The 24,481-nt window shown below is 37.8% G+C and overlaps 1 protein-coding gene across 28 annotated transcripts in view; it reads right to left on the bottom strand.

Moving 5' to 3' along the window:
* Positions 1 to 24,481, bottom strand: part of TBC1D31 (TBC1 domain family member 31) — a 92,467-nt gene that overhangs the window by 42,349 nt on the left and 25,637 nt on the right. For 27 of the 28 annotated variants that reach the window (XR_001745622.2, XM_011517379.3, NM_001363151.2 and 24 more), the window contains 5 exons: positions 21,818 to 22,018; positions 17,361 to 17,537; positions 13,429 to 13,508; positions 13,205 to 13,351; positions 2,637 to 2,770 (listed from right to left, as the gene is read on the bottom strand). Coding sequence is in view for 27 of the 28 variants with exons in the window: in XM_011517379.3 (XP_011515681.1) it covers positions 2,637 to 2,770; positions 13,205 to 13,351; positions 13,429 to 13,508; positions 17,361 to 17,537; positions 21,818 to 22,018 (739 nt within the window). In the remaining variant the exon portion in view is untranslated. The remainder of the gene's footprint in view (positions 1 to 2,636; positions 2,771 to 13,204; positions 13,352 to 13,428; positions 13,509 to 17,360; positions 17,538 to 21,817; positions 22,019 to 24,481) is intronic. The other variant, NM_001363156.1, reaches the window with a different exon arrangement.

Raw genomic sequence — 24,481 nt, 5'->3', positions numbered from 1 at the left:
CAATTTCCTTGGTATAAAACATTTTAGCTATGTAACAAGATTTTACCAGAAATAAAAAATTTAGTTTGGCATACATACCTAAATTAACTACAATCCATTTCTTTATTAATTATAGTAAAATAGATGTTATTTGCCACTTTAACCATTTTTAAATATACAATTCAGAGGTATTAATCCCATTCAGGGTTATACAATGATCCCATTCAGGGTTATACTATCTATTCCCCAAATCCTTTCAATACCCCAAATAGAAACTCTGTATCCATTCAGGACTAGCTCTCTGTCCCACTTTCCCTAGCCCCTGTAACCTCTAATTTATTTTCTGTGTCTATGAATTTACCTATTCTAGATATTTCCTAAGTGAAATCATACAATAACTGTCCTTTTGTATCTAGTGTATTTCACTAAGCAGGATGTTCTCAAGGTTCACCCGTGTAGTAGCTAGCATGTGGCAGGACCTCATTGCTTTTGACAGCTGGATAACATTCCATTGCGTGTATTTACCACACTTTGCTTACCCATTAATCTGTTAATAGATTGTTTCCATCTTTTGGCTATTGGGAATAATGATGCTATGAACATTCACACGTGGGTATCTGTCTAAGTCTCAGTTTTCAATTCTTTTGGGTATATACCCAGGAGTGAAATGGTTGGGTTATACGGTAATTCTATGTTTGGAATTTTGAAGAAATGGCAAATTGTTTTTTCATAGTGACTGCACCATTTTACATGTCTACCAGCAATAAATGAAGGTCCCAATTTTCCCACATCCTCATTAACATGTATATAACATTGTTAAATTACAGCTGTCCTAGTAGGTATGAAGTGGCATCTCACTGTGGTTTTGGTTTGCATTTCCCTAATGACTAATGATGCTGAGCATCTTTTCATATGCTTGATGGTCATTTGTATACTGCCTATGGAGAAATGTCTATTCAAGTCCTTTACTCATTTTTTAATTGGCTTGTTTGTCTTTTTGTTATTGTGTTTCTTTTGCTTTTAAAACACGGTAGTGCTATTGGCAGGTAAACTAATACTTGTATTAGTTTGATTTTCTATTGCTATAAAGAAATACCTGAGACTGGCTAATTTATAAAGAAAAGGGTTGAATTGATTCATGGCTCTGCAGGCTGTGCAAGCAGGGCTCCAGCACCTGCTTCAGGAAGTGAAGAGAGCAGGAGCGACAGATGAGGTGAGGGCCTCTGGAAGAGGGCAGGAACGAGAGCACAGGGCAGGTGGTGCCACACTCTTTTAAACAACTAGATCTCGTGTGAACTAACTGAGCGAGAACTCGCTTACAACCAAGGGAATGGCACTAAGCCATTTATGAATGATTCACCCTCATGGTCCAATACCTCCCACTAGGCCCCACCTCCAACATCAGGGATCACATTTCAACACGACATTTGGAGAGGACACACATCCAAACCATATGACAACCCTTTTGGGGAATCAATTATTCACATTTTATGACCCGATAACACCAATTCTGGAAATCTACGCAAAGGGAACTATTATGTTTGCATGCGAAGATAGTTACAACATTGTTACTTTTAATAGATAAAATGTCGGGTGCCAGGGGCTCACGTCTGTAATCCCAGCACTTTGGGAGGCCGAGGTGGGCGGATCACTTGGGGTCAGGAGTTCGAGACCAGCCTGGCCAATGTGGTGAAACTCTGTCTCTACTAAAACAATACAAAAATTAGCTGGGCATGGTGTGGCGGGTGCCTGTAATCCCAGCTACTTGGGAGGCTGAGGCAGGAGAATTACATGAACTCAGGAGGTGGAGGTTGCAGTGAGCACTACTGCACTCCAGCCTAGGTGACACAGTGAGACTCCCGTCTCAAAAAAAAAAAAAAAAGAGGTTAAAATTAGGAACAATCTAAATATCCAAGAAGATTAAACTAGTACATGCACATTATGTAATAATAGCCAATAAAAAATGTTTATGAAATTTAATTTATAAAAATAAGGGAAATATATATAACATGAAGTAAAAGTAGTATAACAACAAAAAACTGCTTTAAAAGTGTGGAAAAATTAGAAAAATAAAATTCTTGCACTTGGGGAATATATAAATGATATATTCATAAGATGAAATACTATATTATGCAGACAATAAATTATTATTATTATTTTATTTTTATTTTTGAGACGGGGTCTTGCTCTGTCTTGCCCAGGCTGGAGTGCTGTAGAGCAATCTCAGCTCACTGCAGCCTCCACCTCCTGGGTTCAAGTGATTCTCCTGCCACAGCCTCCTGAGTAGCTGGGATTATAGGCATGCACCACCACACCCGGCTAATTTTTGTATTTTTAGTAGAGACAGGGTTTCACCACGTTGGCCAGGCTGGTCTCGAACTCCTGACCTCAGGTGATCCGCCTGCCTCAGCCTCCCAAAGTGCTGGGATTACAGGCATGAGCCACCGTGCCCGGCCTCCAGATTTTCTTCTAAATAAAAAGGTTTACATATAAATGCTTCAATTGTCTATTTTATGTTTGATACCTTATTGTTTCACACTTTCGTGACTTAAAAGTAGAGACATCTAGAATTGTTAAATGTTGCAAAGGTGCAAAGACATCAGGAAAATGTATAAGAATCCATTCTTGATCTTATACTTTAACAAGTATTTACTTACTTATGAGAGTAGCAATAACTTCAAAACAGATGAGTTGGTTGTTCTGGAATAATTTTACAAATGGAAATGCCAAGAGTGGAAGATATGGTGTGTCACTAAAAATGACAGACCAGTGAGCTAATGCAGATAAGGTTCTGTGAATAAAATAACTTAGCATTAAAATTTATTTGAATAAATAATATCTTCACATGATAAAAATTTGATACAAAAAGTATATTTGGTGAAAATTCTTCCTTGTACCCCTATCATCTAGTTCACCTCTCCAGAAGTAACCATTGTTAAAAGTATAAATCCTTTCTTAAAAAACCACAAATGGTAGTATATTATAAAAATTGTTCTGTACTTTGCATTTTTCAATTAATGGTATCTTGGAAATAGTTTATATCAGTATATGCAGAACTTCCTTACATTTTACAGATGGATATGATAGCTTCGTACCGATACACCTTCATTTCTTTTTTTTCTTTTGTTTTCCCGAAACAGGGCCTTGCTCTGTCACCCAGACTGGAATGCAGTGGCATAATCATGGCTCACTGCAGCCTTAAACTCCTAGGCTCAAGTGGTCCTCCTGCCTCAGTCTCCTGAGTAGCTGGGCCTACAGGTGTATGTATGCCACTATGCCTGGCTAATCTTTCTTGCGGGTAGAGACAGGGTCTCACTATATTACCCAGGCTGGTCTCAAACTCCTGGGCTCAAGCGATCTTCCCGCCTCAGCTTCCCAAAGTGCTGGGATTAGAGGCGTGAGCCACTGTGCCCAGCCACCTTCATTTCTTTAACATGATCTCTATCGTAGGGCATTTGCTTTCAGTCTTTTATAAGCAATGCTGTGCTTAATGCCACTGTATGTGCCACACAGTGTGTATCATTCTTCACATGAGAATACAGACTTGGAAATTCCTAAAGTGGAATTGCTGAGTCAAGAATACGTGCATTTGCAATTTCGAAAGTCAGTGCCAAATTAGCCCCCACAAAAAGTGTCTATTTACGTTCCTATGACTCGCGTAAAGGGATGCCTGTTTTTCATACTCTTGGCCGCATATTATCAATGATTTTTAAAAAACCTTTAATCTAGGTGAGAAATGGTACTTCAACGTAGTTCCAATTGGCATTACTCTTTCTATGAGAAAGATTAAGCATCTTTTCATGTTTAAGAACCATTTCTAGGCTGGGCACAGTGACTCATGCATGTAATCCCAACATTTTGGGGGGTTGAGGCAGGAGGACTGCTTAAGCCCAGGAGTTTGAGACCAGCCTGGACAACAGAGCGAGACCTCATCTCTACAAAAAATTTTTAAAAATTAGCCAGGTGTGGTGGCACACGCCTACTACTCAGGAGACTGAGGCAAGAGGATTGCCTAGGTCCAGGAGTTTGTGGCTGCAGTGAACTATAGTCACACCACTGCACTCCAACCTGGGTGACAGAGCAAGATCCTGTCTCTAAAACAAAAAACTAAAATAAATAGAAAGAACCATTTTACCACTGTAAACTGTATATTACATTGTTTATCCATTTTTTTTTTTTACTGGCTGGTCCTTTACATGTTTATTTATATAAGCGCTTCATACATTAAAGAAACCAGCGTTTCATTTGTCAGGTTTTGCATATGTTTTTTCAGTTTTACATGAGTCTTTGTTTTGGAAATTATTTTTACATGTAGAGATTTTTATTCTTATCAACCTCTTCTGGATATGTCATACTCAGAAAGGCCTTCATTACCTCTGGGATTATAATTCTCCCACATGTACTTCTAATACCTGTACTGTTAATTTCCTTTTTTTAACTTTCTGTTTTGAAATAGTTTTAGATTTACAAAAAAAACTGCAAAAATAGTAGAGTTATTGTATACCTTTGACCTAAATTCCCCTAATGTTAACAGCTTGCAAATAGTACAATGATCAGTACTAAGAAATTAACACTGGCACATGCTATTCACTAAATTATGGACTTTACTCAGATTTTACCGTTTTTCCACTGATATCATTTTTCCGTTATTTCTTTCATTTCACCAACCCCAGATTCAACATTACATGTGTTTTGTCTCTCTAGTTTCTTCCAATATGAGAGTTCCTTAGTCTTTCCTTATTTTTCATGATGATGCCATTTTTGAGGAATATCAGTTATTTTCTAGATTGTTCCTCAATTTGGGTTTGTCTGATACTTATGATTAGAATGAGGTTACATATTTTTGGAAAGAATATCACAAAAGTGATGTGCATCATATTGACATCTTATTACCAGTCATTTTATTTATTTAATTTTTGAGACAGGTTTGCACACTGTTGCCCAGGCTGGAGTGTAGTGGTGCTATCATGGCTCACTGCAGCCTTGAATCTCCACACTCAAGGAATTCTTCCATTTCAGCCACAAGTAGCTAGGACTATAGGTGTGTGCCACCACGCTCAATTAATTTTTTTTTTTTTTTTTTTTTTTTTTTTGAGACGGAGTTTCGCTCTGTCGCCCAGGCTGGAGCGCAGTGGCGCGATCTCGACTCACTGCAACCTCCGCCTCCCGGGTTCACGCCATTCTCCTGCCTCAGCCTCCCGAGTAGCTGGGACTACAGGCGCGCGCCACCATGCCCGGCTAATTTTTGTATTTTTAGTAGAGACGGGGTTTCACCGTGTCAGCCAGGATGGTCTCGATCTCCTGACCTCGTCATCCGCCCGTCTCGGCCTCCCAAAGTGCTGGGATTACAGGCGTGAGCCACCACGCCTGGTGTACTAGTGATTTTAAATGTGCTTACTTGGTTAAGCTGTTATCTGCTGAGTTTATCTACTACAAAATTACTATTTTTCCATTTGCCATTAATAACTGTCTTGGGGGAGATATTTTAAGACTATGCAAATATCCTGTGAATCCTAGAATTTTTTTTTTTTGGAGACAAAGTCTCACTCTTTCACCCAGGCGGAGTGCAGTGGTGTGATCTGGGCTCATTGCAGCCTCTACCTCCCAGGTTCAAGCGATTTTCCTGCCTCAGCCTCCCAAGTAGCTGGGATTACAGGTGCATGCCACCATGCCCAGCGAATTTTTGCATTTTTAATAGAGATACGGTTTCACCATGTTGGCCAGGCTGGTCTCTAACTTCTGACCTCAGGTGATCCACCCGTCTTGACCTCCCAAAGTGCTGGGATTGCAGGCGTGAGCCACCGTGCCCAGGCACTCCTAGAACTTTTGTCCAGTAATTTTAGCATCAATTGGTGGATCTTGCCTCCAACAATTATCACCGTGGTGTCCCAATAGTGATTTTCTATATCTCTAATTCCTTCTATATTTATTAGAACTGTCCCTTCTCCCTCATTTATATCTTTATTTATTCAATTATTTATGTCAGGATGAACTCATGGATATTTATTTTATTCTACAAGTTATAATTGATTGTTATTTATTTTGTTCCTCAAATTGTTCCAGCTTTGGCCACTGGAAACTTTTAGGTTGAGTCACGTGCCCTTGTGACATGCCCATCCTTTCAGAGCATTTCCTTACTTTATGGCACTAAAAGATGCTTCAGGTTCATCTTGTATTTTCCCCACACCAGTAGGTGCGCTCACTGTTACCAGGGTGTCATTGTTAGGCCTTCTCGGTAGAAAGAGCTTGGCAATATATGCATGTATACTAACTCCTGCATACATGCATATCTATATTCCTTTCTGTGTCTATTTATCTGCATATACGTTAAGAACTAACACTATCGATTCCAATCAACTACTGCAAGATTCATTCTAGCCCTTTTGCTTATTTATCTTCTTTCTCTGAGAGTAAGAAACCTGGCTCTCGTCTCTATTGAGCTATTTGTATACAAAAAGTGGCTTCTACACATAAAGTAGTTTCAGACTTGCTAACTCCACATTTATTTCTAATACTTTGATGGTTTTGTTTTTTTAAAAAGGAATTAAATCTTTAGTTCAAGCAGAATTTATATGGTGTAAGATATGAGGTATGCTTTCAACTTTTTCTAGATGGCTAGCTAGTTATTCCATGTCATTTACTAAATAACCTATCTTTTCTTCATTACTTTGAAATGACATCTTTAAAAACAAGTCAATTTTGGAATGTAGCTGGGTCTATTGTTAGACTCTGCATATCTATTTATATGTCAGCAGCAATTTCAATGCTTTATAATAGCTTTTAATATTTTTAAGGCTAATTCCCTTTCATTACTGTTTAAATATAAATTATTTTTCTGAGTATACTTTATAGTTAATGTGGCAAGCAGAATAATGAAAACTGTCCCCCTCCCCAAAAGATGTCCATGCTCTAATCCCTGTAATCCATGAAGATATTATTTTACATGAGATTTTGCAGATATGATTAAGTTAAGCACCTTGGGGTGAGGGCATTAATCCTGGACTACCTGGGTAGGTCCAATCTAATCACATAGGTCCTTAATATCAAAGAACCCCTTCCTGGTTGCGGTCAGAGGGAGATACGACTACAGAGGAATGGTTAGAGAGGTGCTTTGAAGACAGAAAAGGTGGGTCTGAGTCATGAAATATGGGAAACCTGCAGAAGCTGGAAAAGGCAAAGAAAAGGATTCTCCCCAGAGCCTCTAGAAAGGAATGTGGCCCTGCTGACACTCTGATTTTAGCCCAGTGAGATCCAACCCATGGTGAACTTCTGCCTACCAAACTCTAAGGATAAATTTGTGTTGTTTTTAAGCCACTACATGTGTGGTAATTTGTTATAGCAGCAATAGAGAACTAACATAGTTAATGGAGTTAATAAGCTATGTCAGACATTTTTTATTATTCGATACAATACTCAGAACAACCCCAGGAGGGAGGGATTAGCTTCATTACTGAGCCTAGGACATGGAATTCCAGAGAATGTAAGGAAATCCTCATTTTTGGAAGGGCTAGAAATCAACCTAAATACAAGAACATATTCTCCTAAGGATAGTACTTTCATAATTACAGAAGTTACATATTCAATGCTGAGTTGCCATCTTTTGACTGACTCTCAGACTGACAACAAATAAAGACTGATAACATCCAGTGTCGGTGAAAACACAGTAACACTGGCATTTCCCAGGGTTGGCAGAATTTTCTGAGAGAGAAAGAAAAAATGAATGATTTGACCTAGTAGTTTCAATTCTAGAAGTCTACACAAAAATATTCACACAAGATATTTATGAGGGTATTTATTATAATATTGTCTGAAAAGCAAATAAACATAAAATAACCTAAATGTCAATTAACAAGATGAAGACTTAAATCCTGAAACATCCATCCATGTGCATTTTTTAGAAAGAAGTAAACCTACATATACTGAGAGAAAGAGGTCCATGATAGACTTGAAAGTAAAAAGGAAGATAAGCGGCAAAATAGTATGTATAGTATGATTCCATTCTTGTTAAATGTATGTGAATACTTTTGCATTATATACATACAAAAATATCTATACAAAAGTAAACCAAACAATTACCTCTAGCAAGTCAAATTGGGGCTGGAAGAGGTGCTGATTTTTTCTTCATAATCTTCTGTACTGTTTGAATTATTTTACAAAGAAGGAATATTCTTTTTGTCATTGAAAATGAATACTTTAAAGTTACTTTTAAAAATACTGTATCACAGGCCGGGTGCAGTGACTCACACCTGTAATGCCAGCACTTTGGGAGGCCGAGGCGAGCAGATCACCTGAGGTCAGGAATTCCAGACCAGCCTGGCAAACTTGGTGAAACCCTGTCTCTATTAAAAACACAAATAATTAGCCAGGTGTGGTGGGGGGTGCCTGTAGTCCCAGCTACTCTGGAGGCTGAAGCAGGACAATCACCTGAACCTGGGAGGGGCAGGTTACAGTGAGCCAAGATGGCACCACTGCACTTCAGCCTGGGCAGCAGAGTGGAAACTCTGTCTCAACAACAACAACAACAACAAAAAACAAACAAACAGAAAACAACAACAAAAAACTGTATCACAAAAAATTCCAAACATATATAAAACTAGAAAGCACGATCATGCCCCATGAGCCTGTCGCCTGGCTACAACAATAAATCCATGTTTTATTATACTTCTTTCATTGACTATATCCCCTCAATTTTTGGCTAGACTATTATAAAGCAAATCCCAGACATCATGCCACTTTATTCTTTTAATACAGAAGTCTACAACTCTTTAAAAAAGTGGGGGAGGGATGATTTTCTTATATAGTCACAACACCACTGTAACGTAAATAAAATTAACAATTATTTTGTAGTATTGTTTCATAATCAGGCAAGACTCAAATTTCCCCAATTGTCTAAACAAGACTCATTCATTGATCCATTTTTGTAGCAGAAAAAAAAGGCTCACTCATTGAATTTGGTTATCGCCCTTAAATCTCTATCTCTTTTAATGTAGAATAATCCCTCCCTTTTAAGTTACAATTTTGAATTTTAGTAGAAACAGAAATGTAAAATTTAAATTTAAAAATTTAGAAAAACAGAAATTTCAGAACCAACAAAAAAAATTGCTTTGAAGCTTTAACTAAACTAGGATTATAATTTAAAGTACACCTACACAGAATTAGTTACAATGGTAACTTTAATTGTAAATGTACTAGTAGGCATATAAGTATATAAAGCGTAACAGCTTATTACATTTTATGAGAAACTTCAAATGATATGAGCAACCTCTTGTCACTTTAGGAAGATCTTTTGGAAAATACATCTCAAGAAGGTCCCCATGTATACACTGTATTTAGGTAGAAAACATCAAAATTATTTCTCTGATAATTTGAATTTTTAATCAAATTTATAGCTTACACTATGATATTAAAAGTGTTACCTCACTCTTTCCCAAAAAGCAGAGCAGTATTATTTGCTCTTAATGTGAATGTGAACAGAACTTAATGAAAGAGTGAAAAAATCCTAAAATATTCTGTTTTTAAGTTGTACTACTGGGGATAAGGAAGAAGCATCAACAAGTACCCAAGAAAAGCATTCATAATTTAGAAAGTCTAAAATCCTAGGATACGGAAAAATTATAAGAAATTTTAGATACCTTAAACAGTTACTTGAGTAACTTTTACTTATTGATAAAATCAGTTCTTCATTCCCTACAGTGAGGGGGTCAACAGAAGGAGAAAATGTTTTCTACCTTGTCCTCTGAACTCAGGAAATTTATTATTTCAGAAGAATGCACAAAATCATCATTTTTGAAGTAATGTACTCTCCTCTTTTAATTCCTTCGGCATCTGATGAGAGACTTCACTCTCTACCCAAGATATTTACGGCTCTCAACCTAGAATATGAACCTAAAAAGCAAAGGCAAGGCACTGACAGTCTACACTGGTATTCTGACAAACGTCTGAACTGTGATGTTATCTTACACACAGACAGGAAGCATAGTAAGTGTGAAGACCAAATAGAAAAAGTAAGCAAATTCCCATCTCTAAGTCATCTCTTAACAAAGTTATCTGATGTTTTCTCTAATTGAAAAGGGCAGTATATTATGTATTTACCCTTTGACTCAGCATCTAACATTTATGAATCTATTCCAAAGATACACTTAATAGAAAAAGACTTATGGGCCAAACTAATTAATGCAGCATGCTTGTGACAGCAGAAGATTGAAAATAATCTACATGTTCATTAAGGGACAGGCCAAATAAATAATGGTGCATAATGCAGGTATAAAAAAAAGATGAATATTTCTGTACATTGCTTTAAAATGATATCCAAAATACGTTGTTAAATTTAAAAAGCAGAGTACAGAAAAGTGTAATAGTATACAACCATTTACCTAAGGAGGTAAATACAAACATATTTGTAAATACAAATAAGATATTTGCTAAAAGGATGACTTATTGGGAGGAGAAGTAACAGGACAAAGGAAACAGAAGTCAGCCTGTTCTGAATGTACCTTATTTTGTAGATTTGATTTAGAAAACATGTAAATGTTTTATAAAAGTATAAAACAAATTAAATTAAATACAAAAATTTTTCAAAAAACTGAAAACAAATGAAACAAATTAACCTGTGTAGTGAGCTAGTGGCATTATCATATGAAGAGGAGTTATTTCAAGTCATTTTAAAACAATAATTTGGGCTGGGTGTGGTGGCTCACACCTGTAATACCAATACATTAATACCAATACATTGGTGGTAGAGGCAGAAGGATCACTTGAGCCCAGGAGATCCAGATGAGCCTGGGCCACATAGTAAGACTTCATCTCTACTTAAAAATAAATAAATAAACTAGCCAGGCATGGCGGTGCATACCTGTAGCAGCTACTTGGGAGGCTAAGGGGGGAGGATCGTTTGAGCCCAGGAGTTCGAGGTTACAGTTAGCTATGATTATGCCATTGTACTCCAGCCTGGGTGACAGAGCAAGGCCCTGTCTCAAAAAACAAAAACAAAAATGAAAACAATAATTTGATTATATATGCCTAGTGGGATATAACCTAAGGACAAAAAGAACTATAAAAGATATTTTGGACTGCTTTCAATAATCATAATATTCACATTGTTATTATTTATAGTTATATAGTTTTTATTATACAGCATAAATATATGGAGCTTAAAAACCATTGTGTGAGTGTGTGTGTGTGTATGTGTGTTAAAGAAAATAAGGAATTATGTCAATGCTGTTAGAAATCAAGATTTTTAGCATAAGAAAAAAATACAAATATAAAATCAAAGCAGCTATGCAAATTTGTAATCTTAAATCTGAATTGAAAATATTAGTATGAACTCCTGGTTCTATGTACTGAAAAGGTCTATATGTTCAATCTGAGTTCATAATCAATACACTGATTGCTCTGGGGAGCTCCAAGGTAATAAGTTTACTATTCTGAAAACTGTTTAAAAAAAAAGATACCAAGCATTTAACTTGCCTTTTCCTACATGGGTTGTATCTTCCGGTAACCAAGTAGTTGATCCTAAGAACTTTTTCTTTGGAGAAATTTCCCGGTTTATAAAATGAGAAGGAACAGAATTATATTATCACTGTTTTGCTAATCTCTGGTGAAATAATGGATGTAGGCAATAATCATCAATGGACAACATCACGAAAAGAGAGACAGCCAGGTATTAATTATAATCCGCCTAACAAGTACATAAAACCACCTAGGAAGTTTTCTTGCAAGTGAAAGAAACAAATACCAAAGGGGGGAAAAAAAAAACCTTGACTCAGATCAAGCCCCTAGCTCTAACTGCCAGTTTATAGTAAATTCAGGAGATAGAGAAACATGTTAAACAATACTATGAAATAAAATCAGCAAAACCCAGAACATAGAGGGCTGTATGGGTTAAACGATCTGGTTTCTCCAACAAATAAATTGTAAGAAAAAAAGAGGTATCAGAGTCTATAGATTAATCTCAGTGGGGTATCAACCAAATGTAATGTGTACATGTTGTTTGAACCCTGATTTGAACAAGTTTACATAAGAAAATTTTTAAGACAATCAGAGGAATGCTGATTGAATATTTGAACATACTGAAGAATTATTAATTCTTTTTTGTGTGTCAGTATGATAGTGTACTTATGTTAAAGAAAAAGAGTCCTTATCCTTTAGGGATACATATGTATATATTTAGCAAGGGGAGTGTGTGTATGTTGGGATGTGGGGTGTAGAGTGAGTGGGAATATTCACCCAACGTGATTGGCTATGAGTTGGCAATTGTTGAAGCTGGGTGATGGGCATGGGGATATTTGTTACATTATTTTTTATTTATGCTTGAAATTTTTCATAATAAAAATTATTTTTAAAAAAAGTCTTCGGCTCTGGAACCTGGGCTTAATCTTAGCTCTATCACTGCTGTGACTTGATCATATTTCCTAGTCTCTCTATGCCTTAGTTTCTTTACCTATAAGTCAAATGTGCCTAACACATGAAAAGCAGGTTAAAGGATGAGCTACTGTTATTATTAACATTTACTGGATGCTTCCTAGGAATGGACTCTAGCATATGCATTCTAAAAGAGATTCTCATCTAACTTTCCCAATAGTCTTATGATGTTGGTGTTATTACCCCCACTTTTAGATAAAAAAAATTAAGGCTAAGAAGTAAAATAACACGTCTTACATCACAATCATTAAGTGGTAGAATAAGAATTCAAAACTAGGTCTTTTGCCTTCAAATTCAAAGCTCTTTCCACTATGCCTCTGTTCTTTTTTTCTGAGATGGAGTCTTGCCCTGTCGCCCAGGCTGGAGTAAAATGGCGTGATCTCAGCTCACTGCAACCTCTGCCTCCAGGGTTCAACCGATTCTCCCTGCCTCAGCCTCCTGAGTAGCTGGGATTATAGATGCCCGCCACCACACCCAGCTAATTTTTGTATTTTTAGTAGAGATAGGTTTCACCATGATGGCCAGGCTGGTCGCCAATTCCTGACCTCAGCTGATCTGCCCGCCTTGGCCTCCCAAAGTGCTGGGATGTTCTTTCAGATTAACTGAAAGAGTCCTATTTTCTAGAACACAACACAAACTAATATTCACATGTAATATATGTGCATGTACATTTTTAAAATTAAACCAACATATCACATAAGGATAATCAAACTGACAAAACAATATTTTATAAACAGGAGATTTTATAACATTGCAATTATTAGTTACAGGTCTCATACACATTGCTGCAATATATAGAACATACCTCTGTAATACTCTGAGTAGCTTCCTACTTTTGATGGGGTATTTCTTCTGAAGGTTGAGAAATGCCACATGAGTCCCCTTATCTATGAGGGTACTAAACGCAGTATGATTTTCAGGCAGTTGTAGCAGAGAGCGCCAAATGAACATTCTGAAATAAAAATATATTTTAATCCCCCCAATTTTTTTTGAGTAAAACTGATGTAACATACAGAATTTAAATTGTACCTGTATTTTGTTGGATATTCACCATAGCCTTTTAATAAGATTTGTAAACGCTTTTTGTTTAATCCATCTGGTAATTCATTCTACAAAGAAAAAGACAATATTAATAAATGACACAATCATTAAAACTGAAAAGGTGACAAAGGTAATCTAGTCCACAGTGACTTCCCAACTTTAGAAAACAACACATAGTAAGACATATTTGTGTATCATAGGTCTTTTCCCCACTCCCCTCTCTCCCTCTCTTGAGCATGCATATACATAGCCAATAAAGTTCATGATATAGTACCTTCCCTAAACAAGCTTGACAAACTTTTTCTGTAAAGGGCCATGATATGCTTTGGCTCTGTGTCCCCACCCAAATCTCATCTTGAATTACAATCCCCACAATCCCCACGTGTTGAAGGATGGACCTGGTGGGAGGTGACTGGATCACGGGGGTAGTTCCCCCATGCTGTTCTCATGATAGTTCTCACGAGATCTGATGGTTTTGTTAAGTGTTTGACAGTCTCTCCTCCACATATTCCTCTCTCTCCTTCTGCTGCCTTGTGAAGAAGGTGCCCGCTTCCCCTTCACCTTCTGCCATGATTGTAAGTTTCCAGAGGCCTCCACAGCCATGTGGAACTGTGAGTCAATTAATCCTCCTTTCTTTATAAATTGCTCAGTCTCAGGTAGTATTCTTTATGGCAGTGTGAAAACAGACTAATACAGGCCAGTTAGTAAATATTTTAGGTTTTGTGGGCCAAGAAGAAAAATCAAAATTATATATTTATATATAACTACTTAAAAATGCACAAACCATTCTTAGCTTGAATAGCCGAATTAGGCCCATCGGCTGTCATCTGGGACTCCTGCATCAAGAGCAATCCACTCTGACCGCTCCTCCCCCACCTCTCTCTTTCCTTAAAATTCTAGGCAATTCCTAGCATTAAAGCATCAAGGACAAGTCTGGCAGAAAAACATGTGGGAGTTCATCATTTTATCCTAACAGACATCAGCTCCTGCTGATAGTCCCTTATATCTAAGACTTTAAAGTCAATTTTTATCTTAATAAAAAATATTTTATAGAATTTAGGATTATAAAGCTGTTTGCATATATTATCTCAACTGGATCTAACAACTATATGAAACAGATGAAATGTCTTCCTTTATTTGAAAAAATGGGAAAATCAGAGAAGTTTGGTGAATTGCTTATGGTCACAAATCTGCTAAATCTTGGCTCAAGACTCGAAGCCAGACTTTCTGATTTCGTTTAGTGCTCTTTTTACAAGAAGAAACAGGTAGTCCAATGTAAGAGAAGGGTGAAGGGAAAACCTAAGATGATGGTGAATGAAGATACTTGAGTGCCATATTAAAGGTATAGAGGGCAACTAGAACAAATGAGAGCAACATGATCCAGGAAGACTGACTTCATCATCAAGATACCTGCTGCCATTGAAGCTTCTTTTTAAACAAAGAAAAAGATGCCCTGGGGAGTTTGGCCTCAATTTGACCTGTCCTTGTCTTGGCCATGAGCTGATAAAGTTCCTTCTTTTCTTTCCACGTGCTAATGCAAAGATTAGTTGAGGACTTGCACTTCATGCCATAGAAGTGTTCTACTTTGACCTACTTTTTAGAACTGGCTATGGTTTCCTTGGAAGCAGCTCCATTCCTTGACATATTTCTGTAGGATATCCACATTGGATCCACACTACAATGCTGCCAGATACCCTGACATGATGAGGCTTTTACTTCCCAAAGTTGCTCATGACCATTCCCACCAGTTTTCCCAGAAAAGGTCCTGCAAACTCTGAAGCCAGAACATCTCAGAGATACCATTCAGCTTATCTTTGCATTAAAGCATTCATTAAATAGGAGCAACATTGCCCAGTCTTTACACAACTAGGCTAGGCTTGTGTCTGCTATTCAGTTTTTTCTTTAAAGAAGTAATATTTTGTTTAGAGTTACATGAAGAAGTTATAAAACTATAAAGAAAATCAACGGCATAATTAACACAAAAGTGAGGACAATGGTTATATATATGGGGTAGGGAGAAAAATGTGATGGGGGATAAGCACACACGGGGCTCCAAAGCTACGGTAATGCTCTATTTCTTCATGTGGAAATGGGTATGTGCAGAAAAAAGTGAACACAAGCCGGTCTGAGCCTGCTACCCTCAGAAGGCTTACTTGCAAGGTCAGCCTTTGGCTGGTGTCTAGAAGTTGAATTTCAGGAAAGTTCTCACCACCCCTAGAACCAATAAAGAGTGGCTCATTGTGCTTAAACTGTTTGTACAATGTGGTTTATGCTTAATGCCCGCCTTCCTTCTGGGAGTCTGAAATTTGAAACCTGTTAAAACAGGGTACCTACAGAACCAGCCTCTAGTAAAAATCCTGGGCACCAGGTCTCTAATAAATTTCCCTGGTAGACAATATTTCACACATATTGCCACACATATTCATTGATGGAGGAATCAAGGATGTCCTGTGACTCCAGTGGGAGAAGATTCCCGGAAGCTTGTGCCTGGTTTCTTCTGGACTTCACCCCATGTGTCTTTTCCCTTTGCTGATTTTGCTTTGCATCCTTTCACTTTAATATATTATAGCTATGAATATGGCTACATGCTGAGTCCTAATAAATCATCAAACCTAAGGATGGTCTTGCAGCTACCTGACACAGGATACATGTGTAATCTTTTTATTACTTTTCATTAAGCTGTAATCTGTTTTAGACACTCTTCTGTGTTGCAAATTTTACAATTAAAAAATGCTTAAAGAAAAAAGAAGTTACAATAGTCCCCACTGATTTGACGAGGAAATGTTCCAAGATCCCCAGTGGATGCCTGAAACCTCAGATAACACTGAACCCTAAATATATTATGTTTTTCCCTATATATACATACCTATAATAAAGTTTAATTTATAAATTAGGCACAACAATAGATTATCATAACTAATAATAAAATAGCACAATTCTGACAATATGTCAGTATCAGTACTTTTGTGCTCTACAGAAGTTTTTTAAGTAAAATAAAGGTTACTGGAACACAAGCACTGTGATACTGTGACAGTAGATCTGATAACCAAGAGGCTACTGAGTGACTATGCTAGACAGAATGATGGTCATGTGCCAGGTGGAACAGAGCAAGATGGCAGGAGATTTCGTCATGCTACTCAGAACGGTGTGCAATTTAAAACTTATGAATTGTTTTTTCTGAAATCTTCCTTTGAATATATTTGGACCACAGCTGATTACATGTAAACAAAACCATGGAAAGTAAAACCATGGATAAGGAAGGACACTGTATTAAAATCAATGTGAAAAATATCAGGTATTATTAGTGAGAATATGGAGCAACTAGAACTCTCAAATACTGCTGGTAGGGATGTAAATCAACTACTTTTCAATCAACCACTTAGGAAAACTGACAGTATTTACTAAGTTAATCTACAGTGTATCAGTCGAGTAGTTATTCTGGGGTGGGTGGGGGTGAGGGAGAGAGAGCGTGGAGCAATAAGCTGATGGTAATGTTCCAGTTTTTGATCTGGGTGCTGGTAACATGGTGTGTACATTTTGTGAAAGTTCACTGAGCTCTATATTAATGTGTACTTTGTATATGTGTGTGATTATATTTGTCATTAAAAAGTTTTCAAATCCCTTGAAAATAATGTCACTTCTCTATTAATAGCTATATTTTCTTTCTTTCTCAAAGCTGCCATATGGCTGGGTGTGGCAGCTCATGCCTGTAATCACAGCACTTTGAGAGGCCAAGGTGGGAGGATCACTTGAGGCCAGGATTGAGACCAGCCTGTGCATAATTTAGGTTACAACTTTATTCTCTTCATTTTATTCTCTTTCTTTAATTCCCAAGAGAGAGAAGAGTGGTGATGGCTTAGAAATCACAAGACTTGTCTACAGCAGAATCATGACAAAGTTTAATTACCAAATATTCTTACCTTTTTACTTTCAAAATCACCAGTCAGGTCTTGTTTTAATATTCTAGTTTGCATTTTGCTTTCCCTAGATTTTGCTGGCTGCTGTACTCTCCCTGATGTTACTTTCATCTTAAGATCACTGGAACTCAGTTTATTCTTGGGCAAATCTTCAATAACTTTCACTAAAGGCGGAGGTGGCTAAATGGAAAAATAAATATATATATATTCTAATGGATATCCTTGGAAGACAGGCCTGTTAATGTATGATTTTCAAAATTTGCTTTAATAACATGCCTTAATATGTAGAATTATTCTTCAGGCAAAAAACTTAAGTAAAATGTCTAGGAACATTTGCTTTGACTAATAAATCAAAGCAAATTTCTGCTGAATCCTTTTGAAGAACATAATAAAGATACATGATTAACAATAGCAATAAATATAATTATTCCTTGAAAGCTGGCCTTAAATCATTTAATACCAAATCATGTTTACACATACATGGTAAAGTTAGTATGGTGATTATTATCTACAGCAAAAAAGGTACAGTTAGAGGTATGGCCCTCTAGAATTCTGACAGAAGTACCCTAATATTCTTTGGGGTCAAGTGAAATTTCTAAGAGGAAACTGCCAAATGACTTTCTTCTAGAAGCATGGAACCTCTGCCCCTCTATCCCTTGGTTAAATGTTTTAATCTGCTTAGTGATCACTATTAGTTCCTTATTGTATCAACAGCTTAAGCAGTTCAGACAATGTGACTTAGAACCTATACCTTCATTTTTATGGGGCCCATCAAACACGGAAAAAAACCTGAACAACTTCAATTTACTTAAAGTAACATTACTCACTAGAACATTTTCTCCATAAACAATATTCTCTTTGAAATCAAAAGATCTTCCTTCTTCAAAGGAAGTGAGCAAATAAGGTAACTCAGGCTTTCTAAGTTCTAAATACAATTAAAACACAATGACCATTTACAGTTTATGATTCAATTCTTCAATTCATCTATGGGATGGGATTAATAGTGGTCTGACTTATGAATATTACCCATATTTAATATCCTTAAACTATTTTTTGACTTCAATCCATTCTTCTAAATTTTTATTAAAAACACATATATTCTCTGTAAGGTAAGCCACAGCCTGTGTTTACAAACAATAAATAGCGCTTCAATGCTACGCTTGGGGAACATTTTAACAAGTAAAATCTTAACAAAAAGCTTCAAAACACAGAAAAAAATGGCATTAAGTAGACCACAAAAAGGATACTTGTTTACACCATGAGAGCTGAAATTTACTAAAATTTTATTAAAATTAAAATTTATTAAAATGTCACAATTTCCCGTTTGAGCCTTATCCTCTACCATGAAGTATAACCTCCCAAAAAAGAACCTGAGAAACAACCTGACTTGACATACCTTTGTAGTGTTAAACCTTCAACACTTAAGAATTCATTTACTCTATTACCACAATACCAGAAATTCTCCAATGACAAGAAAATAAAACTGGTAAAAATGAGACAAAGGTGAGTTATGATTTATAGAGAATATAGAATTGAACATTAATGTAGCCTGGAACAGCCATAAAGACACTGATGGTACTGGGAATGTGTCAAAAAATAAAAAAGATCATTCTACTTCCAAGCTAGCTTTTCTATTCATGTGATATCAATTTGCTCAACAGATAACAAGCAGAAAGGAACTCAATGACTCATTCTTACCATAGTTTTTCTCAGCTCTCTGCCTGCCTCTATTAAGAAGGTTTGCAAGGCTGGACACGGTGGCTCATGCCTGTAATCCCAGCACTTTGGGAGGCCAAGGCGGGTGGATCACCAAGGTCAGGAGTTCAAGAGCAGCCTGGCCAACATGGTGAAACACCATCTCTACTAAAAGTACAAAAATTAGCTGGGCGTGGTGGCACGCGCCTGTAATCCCAGCTGCTAGGGAGGCTGAGGCAGGAGAATTGTTTGAACTCGGGAGGCGGAGGCTGCAGTGAGCCAAGATCACACCACTGCACTCCAGCCTGGAAGACAGAGTGAGACTCCATCTCAAAAAAAAAAAGAAAAGAAGGTTTAGCTAGTACTGTAAAACTGACTATTCAGCAGGCTGAAAACTCTCTCAGTAAGAGCAGATATTAATACATTTAAAAAAATTTATTAATATATAGCACATATTATAATGTAAAAATATACTTATATAGTATACATAATGACATAAAGAGCAAAACAGCAGCAGAGTATAATCCCATATGTTTAGAGACAAGTATGCATACACACACATGTGCGTACACACAGAAACATATATGTATAGTTAATTCTCACTATTTGCAGTGGTTCTATAAAGTCACCATGAACACTCGATTAGTGAATACTGAAACACTGCTCCTAGGGGAAACACAGAGTCAGGTTCCTGAGAGCCTCATTAATCAATCAATACATATATGTGTGTTTCTGTTTAAAGACATCTTATTTAATACACATTGCTGATTCCTTATCATTGAACTCACAGCTTAGCACTATAACTCATTCCTGAATGAGTTTATTTAACACATGTATTTTCTCTGTAAGGTAAGCCACAGCCTTCCTGTATTTAGAAACAATAAATAGCGCTTCAGCGCTACGCTTGGGGACCACTTTAAGCAGTAGAATCTTAACAAAAAGCTTCAAAATGCAAAAAAATAAATGGTATTAAGTAGATCACAAAAAGGATACTTGTTTACACTATGAGAGCTGAAATAAGAAGACAGAGTGTTGCCTCATTTGACTTCAGCTGGGAAAAAGGGTATCTGGTGACTCAAATTTTCACTGCTCTGTGCATGTCCCTGAATGACCATGAAAGCACTGCAACTATTAATTTTGAAGTTACAAATAAATTTTAGTGAGCAGGTGAATTCTCATGTATAGAATGCACAAATAATGAGGAGTGACTATATATATTTACACACATAGAAAAGAAATTGGGAACATATAAATCAGAATCTTCTGAGAATGGTGAGACTTTCAGTGATTTGTATTTGTCTGTTTGCTATTCTGTACATTCTTATTTTTTTCTGCAATAAGACACTACTTGTATAATTTTTTAAAAGATAAAACAAAAAGGAGGAGGCACAAACTTTTTTTTAGAATAAAAAAAGGTGGCAAACGCCACTCCAAATGCACCCAATCTCATGTAATCTTGGAAGAATTGGAACACCCAGAACTGCTAGTTACTCGCTGTGTGATTAATTTTGAGCACGAACTTCTTCCTGTGTAAAATGAAAGGGTTAGACCAGGTGATCATCAAAGTCTCTGTTAGAGCTACCAAGGTGCAATTTCAGACTGGAAGACACACGGACAATATGACTGGTTAGCTGGGGGAATTTTAGATAACCAGAGAAGAGAAGTGAGGCATGCATTTTCGTGAAATGGATGGTGTGGATAATAGATGCAGAAATAAGGATGGTGTCTATGGGGATAATGAGGGAAGCTATAAGTTCGAGGAAATAAGTTAGACAGGTAGACAAGATTAGAGAGAACACTGAGAGCCAGGCAGAAGAGTCTGGACTTAATTCAACAGGCGAAGGAAGGAAGCCACTAAAGTAGCACTAGTTAAGAAATGATGATGAATTATTTTAGAAGATGGAAGGATGGGCAGGGCAAGCACTGAGGGCTCTGAGTTTAAGATATTTCTTTAAATTACCATTAGTCCAGAGTAGTTAATGAAGACCAATACAAGGATAGCAATTATGGAAGTGGAGAACAGACAGCACATTTACAGATATTTCAAATTTAAGAAGTTGGGCTGGGCGTGGTGGCTCACACCTGTAATCCCAGCACTGTGGGAAGCCAAGGTGGGTGGATCATGAGGTCAGGAGTTTGAGACCAGCCTGACCAACATTGTGAAACCCCATCTTTACTAAAAATACAAAAATTAGCAGGGCATGGTGGCGTGCGCCTGTAATCCCAGCTACTCAGGAGGCTGAGGCAGGAGAATCACTTGAACCCAGGAGGCAGAGGTTGCAATGAGCCAAGATCGCACCATTGCACTCCAGCCTGGGCAATGAGAGCAAAACTCCGTCTCAAAAAACAAAAACAAAAACAAAAACAAAACAAAAACAAACAAGTTATATGACTTAGTATTGACTGGATTTAGAAAATAAAGGCATAGGAAGTCATAGAACTTCAAGGTTTCTAGCCTATGAGATGGGAAGAAAACATGAGAGAGAATTGCAGAAAGAACTCTTTTGGGAACGAGATAATGAGTAACACCTAAATGAGAGACATCAAACGGAGATGTCCCTCAGGAAGGCAGCAATTTAAGAATGGAGCATACGTGAGAAATCAAGGCCAGAGATGTGGCTTTGGGAGTAAGAGCAACAAAATATATCCAGAAAAATGGATAAGTTCCAGGTAAGTTAGAAATAGTAGCATAAAGATTTTATTCTTGATGATATAATATATAAGTGTTTATAAAAAGCTGATGTTGATTACTTCATCATACATACCTTATTTATTTCTTGTGTTAAAGCCTGAACTGAATATATGTTTAGACTTCCATTTTCCATAATAGATGCAATGTACCGTCCATGTGGGCTAATTGCTGATGAGCTAATTCCTTCATCGAGGCTCCCAATCTCAAAGAGAAGTTTACAAGTCTGCATATTGATAAATCTCATAATACCATCTTGACTTAGTACTCCAAGAACCTAAGAGAGAAAAAATATAAATTCCTAAAAACATGTGATAGTCAATGTCTGAAAGTCCTACTATATACACGTCTTTACGTGTATGCAACGTTTGTGTATGTATGTGTGTGTGTATATGTGTGTATGTGTGTATAAATATATATATTTTGAGAGGGACACCTAGAGGAAATTCTATTCTCAGTGAGATATTATATATTTTATTTTATTATTATTATTATTATTATTGTTTTGAGATGGAATTTTACTCTTGTTGCCCAGGCTGGAGTGCAGTGGCACGATCTCCACTCACTGCAACCTCCGCCCCCTGGGTTCAAGCAATTCTCCAGCCTCACCCTGCTGAGTAGCTGGGATTACAGGCATGTGTCACCAGGCCCGGCTAATTTTTGTATTTTCAATAGGGATGGGGTTTCACCATGTTGGCCAGGCTGCTCTCGAACTCCTGATGTCAGGTGATCTGCCTGCCTCGGCCTCCGAAAGTGCTGGGATTACAGACAGGCATGAGCCACTGCACCTGGCCTGATATTACCTATTTTAAAATCACAACTTATGGCTCATGTTGATTATGCCCTGGCTCTAATCAGAACCAGGAGGGAACCTATCATGGTAGACTATGGAAAGGTGCCCTAAGAATCTTCCCTTCCCACAGGCAGATCATGCCCACTGATGACATATACAGGGGACAGAGAGGATTAGACAATGATATAATTTGAATGCGTCTCTCCAACAGCAAATATTGGAAACTTGCTCAATGCAACAGTGTTGGCAGATAGGGCCTAATGAGAGGTGATTAGGGCATGACGGCTCTGCCCTCATGAAAAGATTAATGCTGTTATTGTGGGAGTGGGTTTGGTATAAAAGGATGAGTTCGGCTCCCTCTTGTCCCCTCCCATTCCTCCCTCCCTTTCTCACCCATATGAGGCCTTCTACTATATTATGACAGAGAACAAAGGCCTTCAAAAGATGCCAACCTCTAGATCTTGGACTTCCCAGCCTCCAGAACTGTGAAAAATAAACTTACATTGTTTATAAATTACCCAGTCTGTGGTATTCCAATACAGCAGCACAAAACAGACTAAGACAGACAGTTCCCAACTTTTGCCTCCACACTGGCTATCAGAAACAAGGAGGGTGGAGGGTTTGCCTTCCTGTACCCTTTCCATAGCTAATCAAAGCTAACAGCCCTGCTACCCCCACACAAACCTGTCACTCCCACTGAGGCTCCCCACTGTCTGCCTGTTTTCAGCAAATATTTTAAGTAACATTTGGAGAATGGAGAGTTTGTGAGTTGCAAGGGTAGTGGAGGGGTAGGAGGGAAGCTAGGCTTTTAAGGGGAGAGAAAAGTTTAAATTTTAACTCATAATTTCAAAAATTAAGAACATGTAATAAAGGCTGGGCATGGTGGCTCACATCTGTAATCCCAGCACTTTGGGAGGCCGACACGGGCGGATCACGAGGTCAGGAGATCAAGACCATCCTGGCTAACACGGTGAAACCCCGTCTCTACTAAAAAATACAAAAAATTAGCCGGGCGTGGTGGCAGGCGCCTATAGTCCCAGCTACTCGGGAGGCTGAGGCAGGAGAATGGCGTGAACCTGGGAGGCGGAGCTTGCAGTGAGCCGAGATCATGCCACTGCTCTCCAGCCTGGGTGACAGAGCGAGACTCCGTCTCAAAACCAAAAACCAAAAACCAAACCAAAACAAAAAAAAATGTAATAAAAAAGTTTAAGCAAATAAACCCCCATGCTGCCTTGTCTAAGTGCAGGTTCTCTTCCCAGTGGCAGTGGCTGGTAAGTGATGCCACCATGTGATTGCTTGAAATGCTGATGTCACTTATCATACAAAAGATGGTAAAAGGCAGTTTGGAGGTGACACTCTATAAAGTTCTCCTGTTGGTTGGCTTGTAGGAAACAAAGCCCCTCATCTGCAGTTGATGCAACTCCTCTGGAAGTCAACTGGGCAAGATCTACCCAAATTACAGATGCACATAACCTTTATGCCACTATTTCAACTCTGGGATTTTATCCTACAAAGAGGATGTGTGAAATGACACTTGTGAAAAGTCATTCAGTGAGCATTATTTGTAACAGAAAATGACTAAAAATAGGTTAACTGCCAATAGGAGACTGGTTTAAAAAATAAACTGCAACACTATGCAGTTGTGAAAAAGAAAGAAGTTCTGCACTGATATAGAACAATTTCCAACTTAAGAATAAAAGGTAGACTGGGCGCAGTGGCTCACGCCTATAATCCCAGCACTTTGGGAGGCTGAGGCAGGTGGATCACTTGAGGTCAGCCTGGCCAGTATGGTGAAACCCTGTCTCTACTAAACATACAAAAATTAGCTGGGCATGGTGGTTCATGCCTGTAGTGCCAGCTTCTTGGGAGGCTGAGGCGGGAGAATCACTTGAGCCTGGGAGGCGGAGGTTGCAGTGAGCCAAGATTGCACCACTGCACTCCAGCCTG

Source organism: Homo sapiens, chromosome 8, assembly GCF_000001405.40.
Source record: "Homo sapiens chromosome 8, GRCh38.p14 Primary Assembly".
Lineage (NCBI taxonomy): Eukaryota > Metazoa > Chordata > Mammalia > Primates > Hominidae > Homo > Homo sapiens.
The sequence above is the reverse complement of the archived record's forward strand: the minus strand, read 5'-3'. Positions and strand labels throughout refer to the sequence as shown.